This window comes from Homo sapiens, chromosome 7 (genome assembly GCF_000001405.40).
Source record: "Homo sapiens chromosome 7, GRCh38.p14 Primary Assembly".
NCBI lineage: Eukaryota > Metazoa > Chordata > Mammalia > Primates > Hominidae > Homo > Homo sapiens.
In genome coordinates this window covers 107,635,917-107,655,428 of record NC_000007.14, presented here as the reverse complement: position 1 = coordinate 107,655,428, position 19,512 = coordinate 107,635,917, and the positions used below count along the sequence as shown (strand labels likewise).

The window sequence follows — 19,512 nt, the reverse complement described above, 5'->3', positions numbered from 1 at the left end:
ATGCTATGGGAGAAAGAGAAAGATGTCTTGTGGAATTACTGATGGAGCAACACACAGCAAGGGGAGGAGGAGGACCACCTTAGAGGGGGTGTTCAGGGAAGGCCTTTCTCTTTCAGAGGAAATGACATTTGAAGAGAGACTAAAGGATGAGAAAAAGACAGCCTTCCTGGAAGAGGAAACAGCAAATGCAAAAACTCTGAGTTAGGAAAGAACTTGATGCACTTGAGAAACAAAAAGAAGGCCGGCAAGACTGAAATCCACATAAGTCAGACCCGGGCACAGCAAACTGGACGTCCTCAGTATATATGTGGCAACTGAAACCAGGCATTTAGGGTGAGGAGAGAAGCAGATAAAAGACCAGCACCAAGCCCTCAGACGGTCCAACATTTAGAGGTCATTTATAGGAGGAGAGGAGGGGCCTCTTCTGTAAAATGCTGAGAATCTTTGAACTCAGGGGGTGAGGAAAAAAACATCTCTAAAATATTTTGAACTTCTTGGAGATACTTCTCTCAATAAAATTTCTTTTGTACCTGTATCTTTTAATGACACTTGTAAAGGGGAAAAAAAATCTGAACATTTGAAACTTGTCCCTCTTTTTTTTTTTTTTCTGAGACAAAGTTGCACAGGCTGGAGTACAGTGGTGCAATCTCGGCTCACTGCAATGTCCGCCTCCTGGGTTCAAGTGATTCTCCTGCCTCAGTGGTACAATCTTGGCTCACTGCAACGTCCGCCTCCAGGTTCAAGTGATTCTTCTGCCTCAGCCTCCCGAGTAGCTGGGATTACAGGCATGAGCCACTTTGTTCCAAGATCTCATCCAGGTTACCACATTACATTGGGTTGTCCTGTTTCCTTAGGCTCCACTTGGCTGTGATAGGTTCTCAGGCTTCTCTTGCTTTTCATAAACTTGACAGTTTGAGAAGTATTGGCCAAGTATTTTACAGGATGTTCCTCTTTTGGAATTTGCCTGGTCTTTCTCATTACTACAGTAGTGTTTTATGGGAGAAAAACCATACAAAGTGCCATTTTCATCATAAATTATCAAGGGTACATAGTCAACATGACTTATTGTTGATATTAACCTTGATCACCTGAGAGGTAGTGTTTATTAGGTTTTACCACTGTAAAGCAACTCCCCTTACCTCTCCCCTTTTCCATTCTTCTATAATCTCTCTTACTCTTTTTTTTTTTTTTTTAGACATGATCTCATTCTGTTGCCCAGGGTGAGTGCAGTGGCACCTTCATGGCTCATTGCAGTCTCGATCTCCCAGGCTCAAGCGATCCTCCCACCTCAGCCTCCCAAAGTGCTGGGATTGCAGGCGTGAGCCACCTTGCCCAGCCCATTCTGCAATCTTCGGAAGGAAGTCACTATATGCAGCCTATGCTTGAGGAGTGGGGAGTTGAATTCCACATCCTTGAGGGCAGAATACCTAAATAAATTATTTGGAATTCTTCTGCAAGAGAGATTTGTCTCTTCTCCTCCATTTATTCATTTATTCAATTATTTCTTCATGTCATAAAATCATGAATATTTATTTTATATGTTGCATTATAAACCAACAGTACTTTTTAAGAAATCAAATTGTTCCAGGCTTGGCCATTAGGAGCTCTTTCAGTTGGCTTCTGTGCCCTTTGACATAGCCCCACCAATGTAGGGTGGTTTTGTCTTTTGGTTTTGGAGCATTTTCTTACTTTTTGGCACTGTAAGATGCTCCAGGCTGATCTCGTGTATTCCTGTGTAAAATCAGCCATTTCTCAAAGGAACACTTGTTCCTTTTATCGGTGAATGGTATAAGCAACCAATATCTGGGTGACAGAGTGTTCCCTGCTGCAGGGGAATTGTTGCTCTAGGCCCTTTCAGCTGACAGAGCAAAGAAATATGTGTGTATATCAACCAAGGCATATATACACATCAATAATATTTCTATATCTAATCATCTATATTTCTATTAAATTAAACATAAGTTCATACTAATTAAGAGATATTTTTATTTTATAGTATTTTGTACTATTTGAGGTGATTTTTTAATAGGTCAATTTGTTACTTTGTCAATCATTTTAAAAGAAATTATATTATGTTTCAAATGCCCTAGTGATAAGATAAATTATATATACGTATGTCTTGATAGTTGTGGATTACTAGATGCAAAACAAATGGTCTATTGGTATTGTTTGTTTGTTTGTTTGTTTTAGAGACAGGGTCACACTCTGTCACCCAGGCTGGAGTGCAGTGGTGTGATGATAGCTCATTGCAGACTCGATCTCCTGGGCTCAAGCGATCCTTCCACCTCAGCCTTCCAAATAGCTGGGATTACAGGCATGCACCACCATACCTGGCTAGTTTTTAATTTTTTGTAGAGATGGGGTCTCACTATGTTGCCTAGGATAGTCTTGAATTCCTGGTCTCAAGTGACCCTTCCGCCTTGGCCTTCCAAAGTGCTGGGGTTTACAGGCGTGAGCTACCGCGCTTGGCCCCTGTAAAAAATTTTGTGAATCAAACTTCTTTAAATACGTTAGAAGAATTAGATGATTAAGATAACTCACATGAGTTATTCTTTTATTAAATAAAGAATGAGGCCAGGCCCAGTGACTCATGCCTATAATCCTAGCATTTTGGGAGGCTCAGAAGGAGGACTACTTAAGCCCAGGAGTTTAAGACCAGCCTGGGCAACACAGTGAGACCTCATCCCTAAGTAAATAAATAAATAAATAAATAAATAAGCCAGACATGGAGGGGTACATCTGTAGTCCCAGCTACTTGAGAGGCTATGGTGGGAGGATCACTTGAGCCTGGGAATTTGAGGCTGCAGTGAGCTGTGATCACACCACTGCACTCTAGCCTGGGTGACAGAGTGAGATCCTGTCTCAAAAAAAAAAAGAAAAAAAAAGAATGATCACCACATGCTTTCGTATGTTGCATGACACCTCAACATGGTAAAAAATGAATTAGTTTGAAGATGGCCGAATAGGAACAGCTCCAGTCTACAGGTCCCAGTGTGAGTGACGCAGAAGACGGGTGATTTCTGCATTTCCAACTGAGGTACTGGGTTCATCTCACTGGGGAGTGCCGGACAGTGGGTGCAGGACAGTGGGTGCAGCGCACCGTGCGTGAGCCGAAACAGGGCGAGGCATCGCCTCACCTGGGAAGTGCAAGGGGTCAGGGAATTCCCTTTTCTAGTCAAAGAAAGTGGTGACAGACGGCACCTGGAAAATCGGGTCGCTCCCACCCTAATACTGCACTTTTCCAACAGGCTTAAAACGGCACACCAGGAGATTATATCCCACACCTGGCTTGGAGGAGGATCCTACGCCCATGGAGTCTCGCTCATTGCTAGCACAGCAGTCCGAGATCAAACTGCAAGGCAGTAGCGAGGCTGGGGGAGGGGCGCCAGCCATTGCCAAGTTAGTTGTTTGATTAGGTAAACAAAGCGGCTGGGAAGCTCGAACTGGATGGAGCCCACCACAGCTCAAGGAGGCCTGCCTACCTCTGTAGGCTCCACCTCTGGGGGAAGGGCACAGACAAACAAAAAGACAGCAGTAACCTCTGGAGAATTAAATGTCCCTCTCTAACACCTTTGAAGAGAGTAGTGGTTCTCCCAGCATGCAGCTTGAGATCTGAGAACGGGCAGACTGCCTCCTTAAGTGGGTCCCTGACCCCCGAGTAGCCCAAATGGGAGGCACCCCCCAGTAGGGGCAGACTGACACCTCACACAGCCGGGTACTCCTCTGAGACAAAACTTCCAGAGGAACGATCAGGCAGCAGCATTTACGGTTCACCAATATCCGTTGTTCTGCAGCCACTGCTGCTGATACCCAGGCAAACAGCGTCTGGAGTGGACCTCCAGCAAACTCCAACAGACCTGTAGCTGAGGGTCCTGACTGTTAGAAGGAAAACTAACAAACAGAAAGGACATCCACACCAAAAACCCATCTATACGTCACCATCATCAAAGACCAAAGGTAGATACAACCACAAAGATGGGGAAAAAACAGAGCAGAAAAACTGGAAACTCTAAAAATCAGAGTGCCTCTCCTCCTCCAAAGGAACGCAGCTCCTCACCAGCAATGGAACAAAACTGGAAGGAGAATGACTTTGACGCGTTGAGAGAAGAAGGCTTCAGAAGATCAAACTACTCCGAGCTAAAGGAGGAAGTTCGAACCAATGGCAAAGAAGTTAAAAACCTTGAAAAAAAATTAGACGAATGGCTAACTAGAATAACCAATGCAGAGAAGTCCTTAAAGGACCTGATGGAGCTGAAAACCATGGCACGAGAACTACATGACGAATGCACAAGCCTCAGTAGCTGATGTGACCAACTGGAAGAAAGGGTATCAGTGATGGAAGACGAAATGAATGAAATGAAGCGAGAAGAGAAGTTTAGAGAAAAAAGAATAAAAAGAAATGGACAAAGCCTCCAAGAAATAGGGGACTATGTGAAAAGACCAAATCTATGTCTGATTGGTGTACCTGAAAGTGACGGGGAGAATGGAACCAAGTTGGAAAACATTCTGCAGGATATTATCCAGGAGAACTTCCCCAATCTAGCAAGGCAGGCCAACATTCAAATTCAGGAAATACAGAGAACGCCACAAAGATACTCCTCAAGAAGAGCAACTCCAAGACACATAATTGTCAGATTCACCAAAGTTGAAATGAAGGAAAAAATGTTAAAAGGGCAGCCAGAGACAAAAGTTGGGTTACCCACAAAGGGAAGCCCATCGGACTAACAGCTGATCTCGGCAGAAACTCTACAAGCCAGAAGAGAGTGGGGACCAATATTCAACATTCTTAAAGAAAAGAATTTTCAACCCAGAATTTTCATATCCAGCCAAACTAAGCTTCATAAGTGAAGGAGAAATAAAATACTTTACAGACAAGCAAATGCTGAGAGATTTTGTCACCAACAGGCCTGCCCTAAAAGAGCTCCTGAAGGAAGCACTAAACATGGAAAGGAACAACTGGTACCAGCCACTGCAAAAACATGCCAAATTGTAAAGACCATCAAGGCTAGGAAGAAACTGCATCAACTAACGAGCAAAATAACCAGCTAACATCATAATGACAGGATCAAATTCACACATAACAATATTAACCTTAAATGTAAATGGGCTAAATGCTCCAATTAAAAGACACAGACTGACAAACTGGATAAAGAGTCAAGACCCATCAGCGTGCTGTATTCAGGAAACCCATCTCACGTGCAGAGACACACATAGGCTCAAATTAAAGGGATGGAGGAAGATCTACCAAGCAAATGGAAAACAAAAAAAGGCAGGGGTTGCAATCCTAGTCTCTGATGAAACAGTCTTTAAACCAACAAAGATCAAAAGAGACAAAGAACGCCATTACATAATGGTAAAGGGATCAATTCAACAAGAAGAGCTAACTATCCTAAATATATATGCACCCAATACAGGAGCACCCAGATTCATAAAGCAAGTCCTGAGTGACCTACAAAGAGACTTAGACTCCCACACAATAATAATGGGAGACTTTAACACCCAACTGTCAATATTAGACAGATCAATAAGACAGAAAGTTAAAAAGGATATCCAGGAATTGAACTCAGCTCTGCACCAAGCAGACCTAATAGACATCTACAGAACTCTCCACCCCAAATCAACAGAATATACATTCTTTTCAGCAGCACACCACACCTATTCCAAAATTGACCACATAGTTGGAAGTAAAGCACTCCTCAGCAAATGTGAAAAAACAGAAATTATAACAAACTGTCTCTCAGACCACAGTGTAATCAAACTAGAACTCAGGATTAAGAAACTCACTCAAAACTGCTCAACTATATGGAAACTGAACAACCTGCTCCAGAATGACTACTGGGTACATAACGAAATGAAGGCAGAAATAAAGATGTTCTCTGAAACCAATGAGAACAAAGACACAACACACCACAATCTCTGGGACATATTCAAAGCAGTGTGTAGAGGGAAATTTATAGCACTAAATGCCCACAAGAGAAAGCAGGAAAGATCTAAAATTGACACCCTAACATCACAATTAAAAGAACTAGAGAAGCAAGAGCAAACACATTCAAAAGCTAGCAGAAGGCAAGAAATAACTAAGATCGGAGCAGAACTGAAGGAAATAGAGACACAAAAAACCCTTCAAAAAATCAATGAATCCAGGAGCTGGTTTTTTGAAAAGATCAACAAAATTGATAGACCACTAGCAAGACTAATAAAGAAGAAAAGAGAGAAGAATCAAATAGATGCAATAAAAAATGATAAAGGGGATATCACCACCGATCCCACAGAAATACAAACTACCATCAGAGAATACTATAAACAACTCTACGAAAATAAACTAGAAAATCTAGAAGAAATGGATAAATTCCTCGACACATACACCATCCCAAGACTAAACCAGGAAGAAGTTGAATCCCTGAATAGACCAATAACAGGCTCTGAAATTGAGGCAATAATTAATAGCTTACCAACCAAAAAGAGTCCAGGACCAGATGGATTCACAGCCGAATTCTACCAGAGGTACAAGGAGGAGCTGGTACCATTCCTTCTGAAATTATTCCAATCAATAGAAAAAGAGGGAATCCTCCCTAACTCATCTTATGAGGCCAGCATCATCCTGATACCAAAGCCTGGCAGAGACACAACAAAAAAAGAGAATTTTAGACCAATATCCTTGATGAACATTGATGCAAAAATCCTCAATACAATACTGGCAAACCGAATCCAGCAGTACATCAAAAAGCTTATCCACCATGATCAAGTAGGCTTCATCCCTGGGATGCAAGGCTGGTTCAACATACGAAAATCAATAAATGTAATCCAGCATATAAACAGAACCAAAGACAAAAACCACACGATTATCTCAATAGATGCAGAAAAGGCCTTTGACAAAATTCAACAACCCTTCATGCTAAAAACTCTCAATATATTAGGTATTGATGGGTTGTATCTCAAAATAATAAGAGCTATCTATGACAGACCCACAGCCAATATCATACTGAATGGACAAAAACTGGAAGCATTCCCTTTGAAAACTGGCACAAGACAGGGATGCCCTCTCTCACCACTCCTATTCAACATAGTGTTGGAAGTTCTAGCCAGGGCAATCAGGCAGGAGAAGGAAATAAAGGGCATCCAATTAGGAAAAGAGGAAGTCAAATTGTCCCTGTTTACAGATGACATGATTATATATCTAGAAAACCTCATCGTCTCAGCCCAAAATCTCCTTAAGCCGATAAGCAACTTCAGCAAAGTCTCAGGATACAAAATCAATGTGCAAAAATCACAAGCATTCTTATACACCAATAACAGACAAACAGAGAGCCAAATCATGAGTGAACTCCCATTCACAATTGCTTCAAAGAGAATAAAATACCTACGAATCCAACTTACAAGGAATGTGAAGGACCTCTTCAAGGAGAACTACAAACCACTGCTCAATGAAATAAAAGAGGATACAAACACATGGAAGAACATTCCATGCTCATGGGTAGGAAGAATCAATATCATGAAAATGGCCATACTGCCCAAGGTAATTTATAGATTCAATGCCATCCCAATCAAGCTACCAATGACTTTCTTCACAGAATTGGAAAAAACTAATTTAAACTTCATATGGAACCAAAAAAGAGCCCGCATTGCCAAGTCAATCCTAAGCCAAAAGAACAAAGCTGGAGGCATCATGCTACCTGACTTCAAACTATACTACAAGGCTACAGTAACCAAAACAGCATGGTACTGGTACCAAAACAGAGATATAGACCAATGGAACAGAACAGAGCCCTCAGAAATAATGCCGCATATCTACAACCATCTGATCTTTGACAAACCTGACAAAAACAAGAAATGGGGAAAGGATTCCCTATTTAATAAATGGTGCTGGGAAAACTGGCTAGCCATATGTAGAAAGCTGAAACTGGATCCCTTCCTTACACCTTATACAAAGATTAATTCAAGATGGATTAAAGACTTATATGTTAGACCTAAAACCATAAAAACCCTAGAAGAAAACCTAGGCAATACCATTCAGGACATAGGCATGGGCAAGGACTTCATGTCTAAAACACCAAAAGCAATGACAACAAAAGGCAAAATTGACAAATGGGATCTAATTAAACTATGGGGCTTCTGCACAGCAAAAGAAACTATCATCAGAGTGAACAGGCAACCTACAGAATGGGAGAAAATTTTTTCAACCTACTCATCTGACAAAGGGCTAATATCCAGAATCTACAATGAACTCAAACAAATTTACAAGAAAAAAGCAAACAACCCCATCAAAAAGTGGGCAAAGGATATGAACAGACACTTCTCAAAAGAAGACATTTATGCAGCCAAAAAACACATGAAAAAATGCTCATCATCACTGGCCATCAGAGAAATGCAAATCAAAACCACAATGAGATACCATCTCACACCAGTTAGAATGGTGATCATTAAAAAGTCAGGAAACAACAGGTGCTGGAGAGGATGTGGAGAAATAGCAACACTTACACTGTTGGTGGGACTGTAAACTAGTTCAACCATTGTGGAAGTCAGTGTGGCGATTCCTCAGGGATCTAGAAGTAGAAATACCATTTGACCCAGCCATCCCATTACTGGGTATATACCCAGAGGATTATAAATCACGCTGCTATAAAGACACATGCACACGTATGTTTATTGTGGCACTATTCACAATAGCAAAGACTTGGAACCAACCCAAATGTCCAACAATGATAGACTGGATTAAGAAAATGTGGCACATATACACCATGGAATACTATGCAGCCATAAAAAATGATGAGCTCATGTCCTTTGTAGGGACATGGATGAAGCTGGAAACCATCATTCTCAGCAAACTACAGCAAGGACAAAAAACCAAACACCGCATGTTCTCCCTCATAGGTGGGAACTGAACAATGAGAACACATGGACACAGGAAGGGGAACATCACACTCTGGGGATGGTTGTGGGGTTGGGGGAGGGGGAGGGATAGCGTTAGGAGATATATCTAATGCTAAATGACGAGTTAATGGGTGCAGCACACCAACATGGCACATGTATACATATGTAACAAACCTGCACATTGTGCACATGTACCCTAAAACTTAAAGTATAATAATAATAAAATTTAAAAAAAAATGAATTAGTTCCTTCTTCCAACCCCATTTTTTAACTTACTCCTCCTCTTGGCTTTCCCATCTTGGTGAATGGCATCCCAATCCCATCCATCCCATTGCCCAAGCCAGAAATGTAGCAGCCACTTCGATTCCTTCTTCTCTGTTCTTTCATGTCATCTATGGTCAAGTCCACATTTTGAATAGCTCTCCAGTTCTGTCTGCTTCTGTCCCTTTCCACCACTGCTGCCTGGGGTCAGCTTAGGATTACCCCAAAGCAATAGCGTCCTAATAGGTCTCTTTGCCTCTTCTCTTGTTCTACTCACAAATTATTCTCCAAAGCAGCCTCCAAAAGTCTAAGAAATGCAAATCAGGTCAGGTTCCTCCTTAGTTTAAAATCTTTCAAAGGCTCTCCATTGCCTTTGACAGGGCATTGCTAATGCCCTGCCTCTCTATGCACCCATGGCACTGAGCTCTCTTTTATCTCTGGACCTGGTGACTTGCTTCTTCCTCTGCCTGGAACTCTTTCCCCCTTTCTCCATCCCTCACTTCTTAGTTTAGCGTTCCCTTTGATAGTTACTTCCCTAATAACCAAAGGCAAGGTTAGATTACCTTCCTACATATAACCTTAGCACTCTTAACTATGTGTGTACTTACCACACTGAAGAGTACTTGTCTGAATCCAGTATTAGACTATAAACTTCCTGAAGGTAAGGAGTTTGTTTGTTTTTACAGAGACAGGGTCTTGCTCTGTTGCCCGGGCTAGAGTACAATGGTGTGATCCTAGCTCACTGGAGCCTCGCCCTCCTAAGCTCAAGCCATCCTCCTGCCTCAGCCTCCTGAATTGCTGGGACTACAGGCATATGCCGCTGTGTCCGGCTAACTTTTAAATTTTTGTTAGAGATGAGGTCTCGCTATGTTGCCCAAGCTGGTCTTGAACTCTTGGAATCAAGCAATCTTCCCACCTCAGCCTCCCAAAGTGCTGGCATTACAGGCATAAGCCACCACCCTCAGCTAGTAAGGACTTTTTAAAGAATATAGTGGAGACACGTTTTCTCAGTTTCAGTCCTAGCTCTACCATTTTCTATCTGAGTGACCTTGAGCAAGTTATTTAAGCTTCCCTTGACTCAATTTTATCATCTTTAAAATAAGATTATGTGAGAATACTACCTATCTCATAATGTTGGTGTAAAAAATAGTTGCAATGCCTGGCACATAGTAAGTACTTGATAAATGTTAACTATTATAACTGAGGTCTGGAGCCCTGGGAGCAGTTTAAGTTAGATCTTGGTATATTTTGAGCTTCATTCCAAAAAAAAGGTACATGAGTATATGTATATGCTATTTGATGTTGCCAGGAATAGTTAATTTTATCTGTCAAAAATTTCTTCCTAGCACACTCTTTTGAGTCACGGATTTTGGCTTTTAAGTAAGCTAAAGGTTGTTATTTGGGAGAATGGCCAGAAAAACTTATCCACAGCTTTCGAATCACATGTTGAACAAATCTGGCATCACAAGCGTCAAGCTGCCTTCTGTTTCTAATCATTTTTCTTTCTAATTTAGTTTCTCCCACCCAAAGAAATTATAATTTATTTTCATTGCAGAGTCCATGAAAGATGTCACAAGATGTAAAAGCAATTATTTTCAAGAGGATGAAACTCATATTTGCTGAACATCGCAGTTGGCTTCATCCCAAATGCTAAGCAGTAGCAATACTTCCCTGGATTGAGACAACGTGTTACTGATCTGAGAAGGCTGGCAAAAGTCTTGGCTGAGAAAACCTTTCTTCTCTTCTATATCTCTAAAATTCTTTAAAAATGAGCGTGCGTGCATGCGCATGTGCACACACACACACAGAGTGCAGCATCTTAATTATGAAAGGTTCTCTAAGACCATACAGGTCAGTGGCCTGGGCCATGAAAGTTTTGAACCCCAGCCATGTTTCAACATAGACTTCCTTATGAGAGTTTCACTTTTCTTCCTTACGTTTCACTTTTCTTTTCTAAGCTTTTCTTTCTTTTCATTCCCAACTTCTACTTCTTGCCCCCTTACTGTAACCTTAAGAGAATAACCTCTTTGCTCTTGATTTCCCCTATTTGGTCTTTCTCTTACATATCTTATGGTTTTCTAAGTTTAGGCATCTGTCCCTGCTTAGAAGTTCCTATAAAATGATGTAAATCAGGAAATGACCTTTTGTCAACCCTAAAGCCCATATCTTATAAACAATAAAATGCTTACAAAAAAAATTACAAGTATAGAAAAGAACAAAAGTCAGGAACAATGCTGTTTATTCCTCCTCTCTGTTTATCCAAATCTATACATCAAGCCTTACATCACAACCTCCTTTTTCTCCAGGATGTATCACCAGCATCTCGCCTGGACTGAACACTCCTTCCTCAGAGATTTTACTATATTTTTATTTCTACTACAGATTTGACATTATCTTGTAGTTATGCCAGTTCCTTCTGGGTTTATGTTAATTCCCAGCAGAAATAAGTTTCTTGAGGGCTAATCCTTATCTGTGACCTTGGGCAAGTTTTCTAACCTTTCTTACAAGTATTAGTAAGTAATAGTCATTCATTACATTGTCATAATAATGAAATACCATGATAGAACTTTCTGGGCCATAGTAATGTGCTCAATAAAGTTAAATCCTTTCCCTTTTCTCCTTCGTTTTGTGGTCTCCTCCATGGTGCCCATTGCCATCCAGTGGGAGGTGATATAGAGCACTGATTCAGAATATGGGCTGGAGTTTGATTCCCAGCTTAGTCACTCCCTAAGGAATTTAGGAAGCATACTCAGTCTCTTGTCAACCTCAAATATTCAAAAGGGTTAGAATCTAGTTTAAAGAGAGTTTATTCAAGCACAAAGTTGAGGATGGCTGCTTGGGAAGCACAGATTCCAAAAAATGAAAGTCAGTGTTTGAAAGTGTAGAAGTTTGGGCTCATTCACTTAGATAAGTTTGGGGAGCTTCACAGAATTTCAACGCTTTCTATATAAGGCTTTATCTTATTAGTTACGGCAGTCTTTTTCTTTTCAGGAAAGGTAATTTTACATTCTACACTGAAGATGTAACAGTTATGGAATCTTTTGCACCATCTGGCCTGAATTAGGTACAGGATAATAAAAGAGGACGATAATCTATAACAAAGATTAGTGATTGGAAGGAGAGAGGGTCTGGTCTCTGGTCTCTCCTAGTCATTTACAGAACACAAACAGTGAGGAACAAAGTTAATCCATAGTGTAAAAAGCATATTGGCCAGAGAGGCCTGTTGTAGAAGGTACTGTTATGGGAACTGGAGCTGCTGATTAAGCTTGATTAAGATGACAACCTCCCAAAAGCACTGAGGCTTCACGGCAGAGCCTATGGGGGAAAACCAGTGGGGAGCCTGGCCAGTATTGGTGAAGTGCTGGGCAAGAAGCTGGAGGAAAGGGGCTTTGACAAGGCCTGTGTTGTCCTTGGCTGGTGCTAAAGAAAGAGGAAGATCTTGCCCAGGTATGGCTGAAGGACACAAGTAGCACCAAAGCCAAGCAGCCCCAGGACTGCTTTGGATGCATTCAAGAGTGGTGTGACGCCTTCTTGTGATGCTTTCTGGGAAGCCCTCAATGCCCAGCCCCAGCATTGCGTCTCCAGAGTTTGCAGCCAAGTAGGGGACTCCTCCTCTGTCCTCTACAAAGGAAATGATTGCTGTTGTTGTGCTTGTGTCCAGTGGACTCTAGGAGTGTTTTGGGAGTTTTCTCCCCTAACCGTTTCAACTTCTTTGCAATTCGAACTCTTTCATGCACCTCCCTTCCTTTTCCTCTGCCTGGTGATACTTGCCAACTTTCCTGATGGATTTCTGGCCCCGTCCCTCACCCCTACCCTCACTTCTAGTGTTTCACACCATTTGGTTCCTTTTTCTTTCACACAACAGTCATTGTCTCTGTGAAGATTTTTAGATCAATAAAGTCAGTGGCTATAAAATTAAAAATCAGAAGGTACAGCCACAAGCTACATGGCACAGACCACAGTCACAACTCACTCAAAGCTTGAAGTGTTTCATGGGGTTTGAACTGCATTTTAACCTTTATTTATTTTCACATTTCCCCCTTTTCATCAAGATCTTTCGAAGAAAGCACTGTAGATGATCTCAATAGTTTTGACTCCTTTTATGTTCAGGAGTTTCATCCCCCGTCACTAGGAAGTCTCATTCCTTGGATGTTATGTTCCATACTGAGGTGGGATTGGATTTCTTAATGAAGTCAATATCTGGGAGATCTCAGATATCACAAATATATGTGAAAAGTAAGTTGAGCTCTCAGTGTATCCCTGAGGCATGACTGTCCATTGTACTGTCTGTTCTCCCAAGTGAAGGCAAAGAGAAATTGACTGTCTTTCTCCACAGGAATACTAAAACATGCACTGCATAAATCTGTCACAGTGAAAAACTCACCTTCAGCGGGGATGGTAGTCAACAACATATGACTGTTTGACACTAGCAGATGGCAAGGAATAACTATGTTGTTAATTGCTCTCAGATCCTGTACAAACCTCCATCCTCTGTCATCTGGTTTTTTTACAGGAAGGGTTGGAGTGTTACACAGGCTTCTACAGGGAATAATCAGACCTCTTTTTATATAGTCTAGAACTATAGGTTGTATTCCTTCTAAAGCCTTTGGCTTTAAAGAATACTGTTTAAGGTTTGGAAGAGGTTTTGATGAGTTTATTTAAATTTTGATTGGGGAAGTCAAGATAATTTTTCCAGTATCAATGAAAGACTGACCACAACTAATCAGGTATTGCCTTTAACAATTTTTGTATTCGTTTATCAATCAATAATTCGGTGTCCTCTATGGCAATATAAATTGCAGCTTGTGAATTTAAAAGGATCAGATTCTGAAAAATTCATGGTGTCTAGTAATTCAACTTTGTCTTCTAATTCTAAAAATATTTTACCCTTTTGGGAAAAACAAATATGGGTGTTATATAGTTCTAAGAAATTTCTTCCTATCAAATGGATAGTGGCTTAGAGAACGAAGAGAAAAATACAAGTCTCTTGTAAAGGACCTACTTGAAAAGCTATAGGCTAAGATTTATGTGCCAATACAGGAATATCAGTGACACCCACCATTTAAATGGTTTACTTTAAGGAATGGGACCTTGTAATAAGGTGGGATTTACTACAGATAATGCAGCTCAGTGTCAATAAGAGCTTATGTTTGTTCTCCATTTCAGATACTTTCTATTTCTCCCAAAATATAAATATGGAGGAAAGGCAAGGTCTCTTTAAGTTCCTTGGAGCACCCCCCCTTTTCTTTTTTTCCTTTGCCTGTTGTTGTTGCCTCCATTTTAGTTTTCAGCAATCTTTCCTAAAGTGACCAGGGTGTTTTTGCAATAATGACAAAGCAGAGGGTTAAATTCATTCTGAGGTTTTTGGGGTATGTTTTGGAGGTTCAGACTGGGTAGATAATTGTTTTAGTTATAAATTCATAATCTTATTAGCCTTATTCTTTTCTTTGGCTTCTTTTTCTCTTCTTTAGTTAAGGCATGACATAATTGATCAGCAAAATTAACCAAATCATGAATGTGAGCAATTGTCCAACTATGGTGTTGTCCTTTTACTGTTAGTCCTAATTCTTCATCTAAGTAACCCACTTATGAAATTGAAATTGAGGAGAGTATCATTTTGATGATTAGCCTAACTCTCTTTGGATAATCCTGAATATGGTTTAAATATTTTTTCGAATCTCTCAAAATATGTCATTTCTGACTCATCTGAATTTTGTTGACATTGTTGTATTTTATTCCAGTCGACCATTCTTTGGAAGGTCAAATGAAGGGGTGGCTTGAGCAAAGCCTTTGAAACCTCATGGTCACATTTGTGGTCTTCTGAAAATGTATGAAAGTCCTTCAAGTGGTTCCTCCAATTTGCCTTAGCTCTTCCAATCTTTAGCTTTACTTTCTGATACTAACATGTGAACTACTTAATACAAATTGGAAAAATCAGGGTTGTAAACTTGAATATTTAGTTCAAATTTCCTGACAAAACCAATAGGGTCTTGGTGGGGATGAGGAAATTCCTTAATTATGCCTTTAATGTCTACCTTTGATCATAGTTGATAAGTTAAGGCAGGTTCTCCTCTACCAGATACCAGCCATTCACAAAATGTAGCTAAAACAACAGGAGTGGGAAGAAGGGGAAGGGGAGGAAAAGAAGGAAAGGCTGGGCAGTGTCGTTCAGATGAGGAAGAGATGGGGAATAAAGAGTTGGGGAAGCAGAAGGAGGAGTAAAAGATTTGGCAGTTTTTTTTTTTTTTAATTTAGAAATGGTTTTAGAGGGCTTTTAATTTTCTTCCTGTAGAGGAAGAACTTTGTCAGAGCGCTTTTCAGATGCTTCTAAGTACTGTTAGAAGTAACTCTCCCAATTATTTTCTTTAATTTTAGAAATAGCTTTTTCTAATTGTGCACATAAATAAGCTAATTTAGGTATTTCAAAGATAGCCCACTTTGGTCATTGTTGTTTGGGGTCTTCATGGGTTAAGAAAGACAACTTTTCTAGATATTGACTGGAGGTTGCACCACAATATTATACAGGAATCCAGCTGGAATTTCTAAAGGTGGATCTCTCCTTAAAAAGGAAGACTCAGTTTTAGATGGATGATTGCCCATAATTTGGATTCTCTTTTTAAGTGATCAAAGATGAAATGGGAAAGATGTTTTTGATCTGGTATGTTGCTTAATGGGGATTATTCCTTGAGGTGACACCAGTGAATCACTTCTCTCTTCTTCCCTGTCTTGGTGAAAGCCAGGAATCCTGGGCACTTAAGGCACTAGAAGATCAGCCCTTCATATGTGCCCACCAGGTTAAGCAAGATTTCCTGTGTGTTCTTCTTTGAGAACTCCCTACAGTACTATTGCATGTTAAGAGTAATGAGTTCAGACACTCCCGCAAGACCTTATTAGCCTAAGATGCCTTTTGGCCAGGAGAAACAGTGTCCCTTATCTTTGGTACTTATCTTCATCCTCATAGAAAGCTTTTCTCTCTTTCTTTCTTTTTCTTTCTTTCTCTTTCTTTCTTTCTTTCTTTCCTTCTTTCTTTCTTTCTCTCTTTCTTTCTTTTCTTTTCTTTTTTTTCCTTCCTTCCTTCTTTCTTTCTTTCTTTCTTTTTTTTTTTTTTTTTTTTGGCGGAGTCTCACTTTGTCACCCAGGCTGGAGTGCAATGGTATGATCTTGGCTCACTGCAACCTCTGTTTCCCAAATTCAAGTGATTCTCCTGCCTCAGCCTCTTGAGTAGCTGGGATTACAGGCACATGTCACCACACCCGGCTAATATTTTGTATTTTTTGGTAAAGACAGAGTTTCATCATGTTGACCAGGCTGTTCTTGAATGCCTGGCCTCAAGTGATCTGCCTGCCTAGGGCTCCAAAAGAGCTGGGTTTACAGGCATGAGCCACCGCACCTGGCCATCCTCATAGAAAGTTTTTCTTTTTGGTCACTCAGAAACAAACAAAACAACTTTAGATATGTCAAATGAACCAAGCTTCAGAGTTTAGCCAGGTTTTTTTCTTTTATGCAAATTTTGCTTAAGCCACATTCACTTCCTCTTTTCAGAGAGAGAAACTTTCTTTCCCTGACCAAAATTCAAATGAGAGAAAAAGCTGTACAAATGTTAATGAGCAGTTACAAATAACACTTAACCTTAGAGAAAAGTGAAAACCACAAATCTGTGAACAGAAGAATATCTAGAGAACAGACAAAAACTCTTACCTTAAAGTAGAGCTTCAATTCCAGCTCCATCAAGTGTGGAATTGGGTCACTTGAGTAAAGTCTGATTCTCAACCCAAATCAGGGAGATTCAAAACCTGAGAGGGTCTTCACCGGAGACCCTCTGCTGGCTCCAGTGAAGCCAAGTGAATGAAAACTGTTCATGCTGGTACCAGGATCCTAACTGTGGGCAATGCAGTGGGGAATCAACAGAGGCTTGCTTTAGGTCCTTTCATGGTTGCCAAAATGTCAACTTGAAATAAGCGTCAGAATCTAGTTTGACTTGAAGAGAGTTTATTTTGAATTTTGAAGAGAGTTTATTCAAGTACAAAGTTTGAAGATGGCCTGGGAGACAGATTCCAAAGAATGGAAGTCAGCACTTTGAAGTGTAGAAGTTTGAGGTCACTTAACATAGATAAGGTTTAGAAAGCTTAACAGAATTTCAATATTTTTCTGTATATGGCTGAATGTATAGTTACAGTAATCCAATTAGACAAGGTAATATTTTTCTTTTCAGGAAAGGTCTATTTAACATTCCACACTGAAGATATAAAATTTGGGAGGTAATTAGTGCTACCTTAACTGAGTTAGGTACTGATAGGGTTTGGTTCTGTGTCCCCACCCAAATCTCATAGTGAATTATAATCCCCATAATCCCCATGTATCAAGGGAGGAAACTAGTGGGAAGTGATTGGATCATGGGGGCAGTTTCCCCAATGATGTTCTTGTGATAGTGAGTGAGTTCTCATGAGATCTGATGGTTTTATAAGGGGCTCTTTCCCTTTCATACACTCTCTCTCTCTCTCTCTCTCTCGTCTGCCACCATGTAAGATGTGCCTGCTTCTCTTCTACCATGATTATAAGTTTCCTGAGGCCTCCCCAGCCATGTGGAACTGTGAGTCAATTAAACCTCTTTTCTTTATAAATTACCCAGTCTTGGGCAATTCTTTATAATGGGTGAAAACAGACTAATACAGGTACAAAAAAGGAGGCAGTTAATCTATCACAAAGATCAGTGATTAGAAGGAGGTCTGGTCTCTTGTCTCTCCTCATAATTTACAGAAGAAGAACACTGAAGAAGAGAGTTAATCTATAATCTAAGGAGCAGAAATTACAACTCCATGCTCCATGGCTGAGATCACAGTCACATCTCTCAAGACTTAATGTGTTCTCTGGGGTTCCAAGAGCTTTTAAATTTTATTTATTTTCACATTCTCTATGCCTCATTTTTCTTATCTGAAAATTGGGGGTAATATTACTACTTGCTTCATGGGCTTGCTGCAATATTTAAATGACAAACAGTTCATAATGCAATTAGACCCTAGCACATGGTGAGTGCTCAAGGAACCTTGGCTGCTCTTATCACAAGGATCAGTGTATAGCAGGCATCTAAAAATATGCAAAATAAATTTGAAAAAAGTTTATGGCATAGAAGTAGATAAAGCAATCAGAACCTAGCACATGGTGAGTGCTTATTAAAAAGTACAAGTCCTTTTATTTATTTTTACATATTTATATTTTTGAGATGGGGTCTTGCTATGTTGCCCAGGCTAATCTCCTGGGTTCAAGTGATCCTTCTACTTCAGCCTCTTGTGTAGCTGGGATTACAGGCATATGCAACCATGCTCAGCAGTATGAGTTCTGTTTTTTTTTTTTTTTTTTTTGAGACGGAGTGTCGCTCAGTCACCCAGGCTGGGGTGCACTGGCTGGATCTCAGCTCACTGCAAACTCTGCCTCCCGGGTTTACGCCATTCTCCTGCCTCAGCCTCCCAAGTAGCTGGGACTACAGGCGTCTACCACCACACCTGGCTAATTTTTTTGTATTTTTAGTAGAGACAGGGTTTCACCGTGTTAACCAGGATAGTCTCGATCTCCCGACCTTGTGATCCGCCGCCTCGGCCTCCCAAAGTGCTGGGATTACAGAAGTGAGCTACCTTGCCTGGCCTATGAGTTCTTTTAATAAACAGATTGACTGAGGTAAACTTGGTCACTGTTTTCCACCCAATGACTGTCTTCTTTTCTATTTAGTTTGCCAATCTATCTTACACCTGGATTGTAAGTGATTTGCTGCACCAGTTCAAACTGTGTTTAAGTCATAAAAAGGAAAAGTTTGGAAAACCAAAGTCAGAAATAATTAGCAAGTGAAATTATAATCAAACAGGAAAGGTGTTTAACAAGCGTGAATGAGAGATTCCCAGTGGCATACATCTTATTTAAAATCTTAATTAGAGTTCTGGAAAAGGCAAAGTCATATGCTAAAGTAATGTTAATGTAATTACATTAGAAATGGATGGAAATGTGAATACAGGCTGATGACCTATATAAAGAAGCCTGTAGGCCAGGGCAGTGTATCCTGCCTGTAATCTCAGCACTTTGGGAGGCGGAGGCAGGAGGACCACTTGAGGTCAGGAGTTCGAGACCAGCCTGGCCAACATGGTAAAACCCCATCTCTACTAAAATTACAAAAATTAGCCAGGCATGGAGCTGTGTGCCTGTAATCCCAGCTACTCAGGAGGCTGAGGCAAGAGAAGCACTTGAACCATGGAGCCAGAGGTTGCAATGAGCCAAGATTGCACCACTGCACTCCAGCCTGGGTGACGGAGCAAGACTCCATCTCAAAAAAATAAAGAAAGAAAGAAGCCTGTGCACACTGATTGCAATGGGGCAAAAATAAATAAATAAATA

At 40.5% G+C, this 19,512-nt stretch overlaps 1 pseudogene, besides 1 other annotated feature; it reads left to right on the top strand.

Moving 5' to 3' along the window:
• On the top strand, positions 12,350–13,041 carry BANF1P5 (BANF1 pseudogene 5; annotated as a pseudogene).
• Positions 16,712–16,861: an enhancer, noted in NCBI's record as "active region_26494". NCBI's record gives its function as "activates an Ori minimal core promoter by ATAC-STARR-seq in GM12878 lymphoblastoid cells {active_cell/tissue: GM12878}" and the evidence as "EXISTENCE:reporter gene assay evidence [ECO:0000049][PMID:35858748]".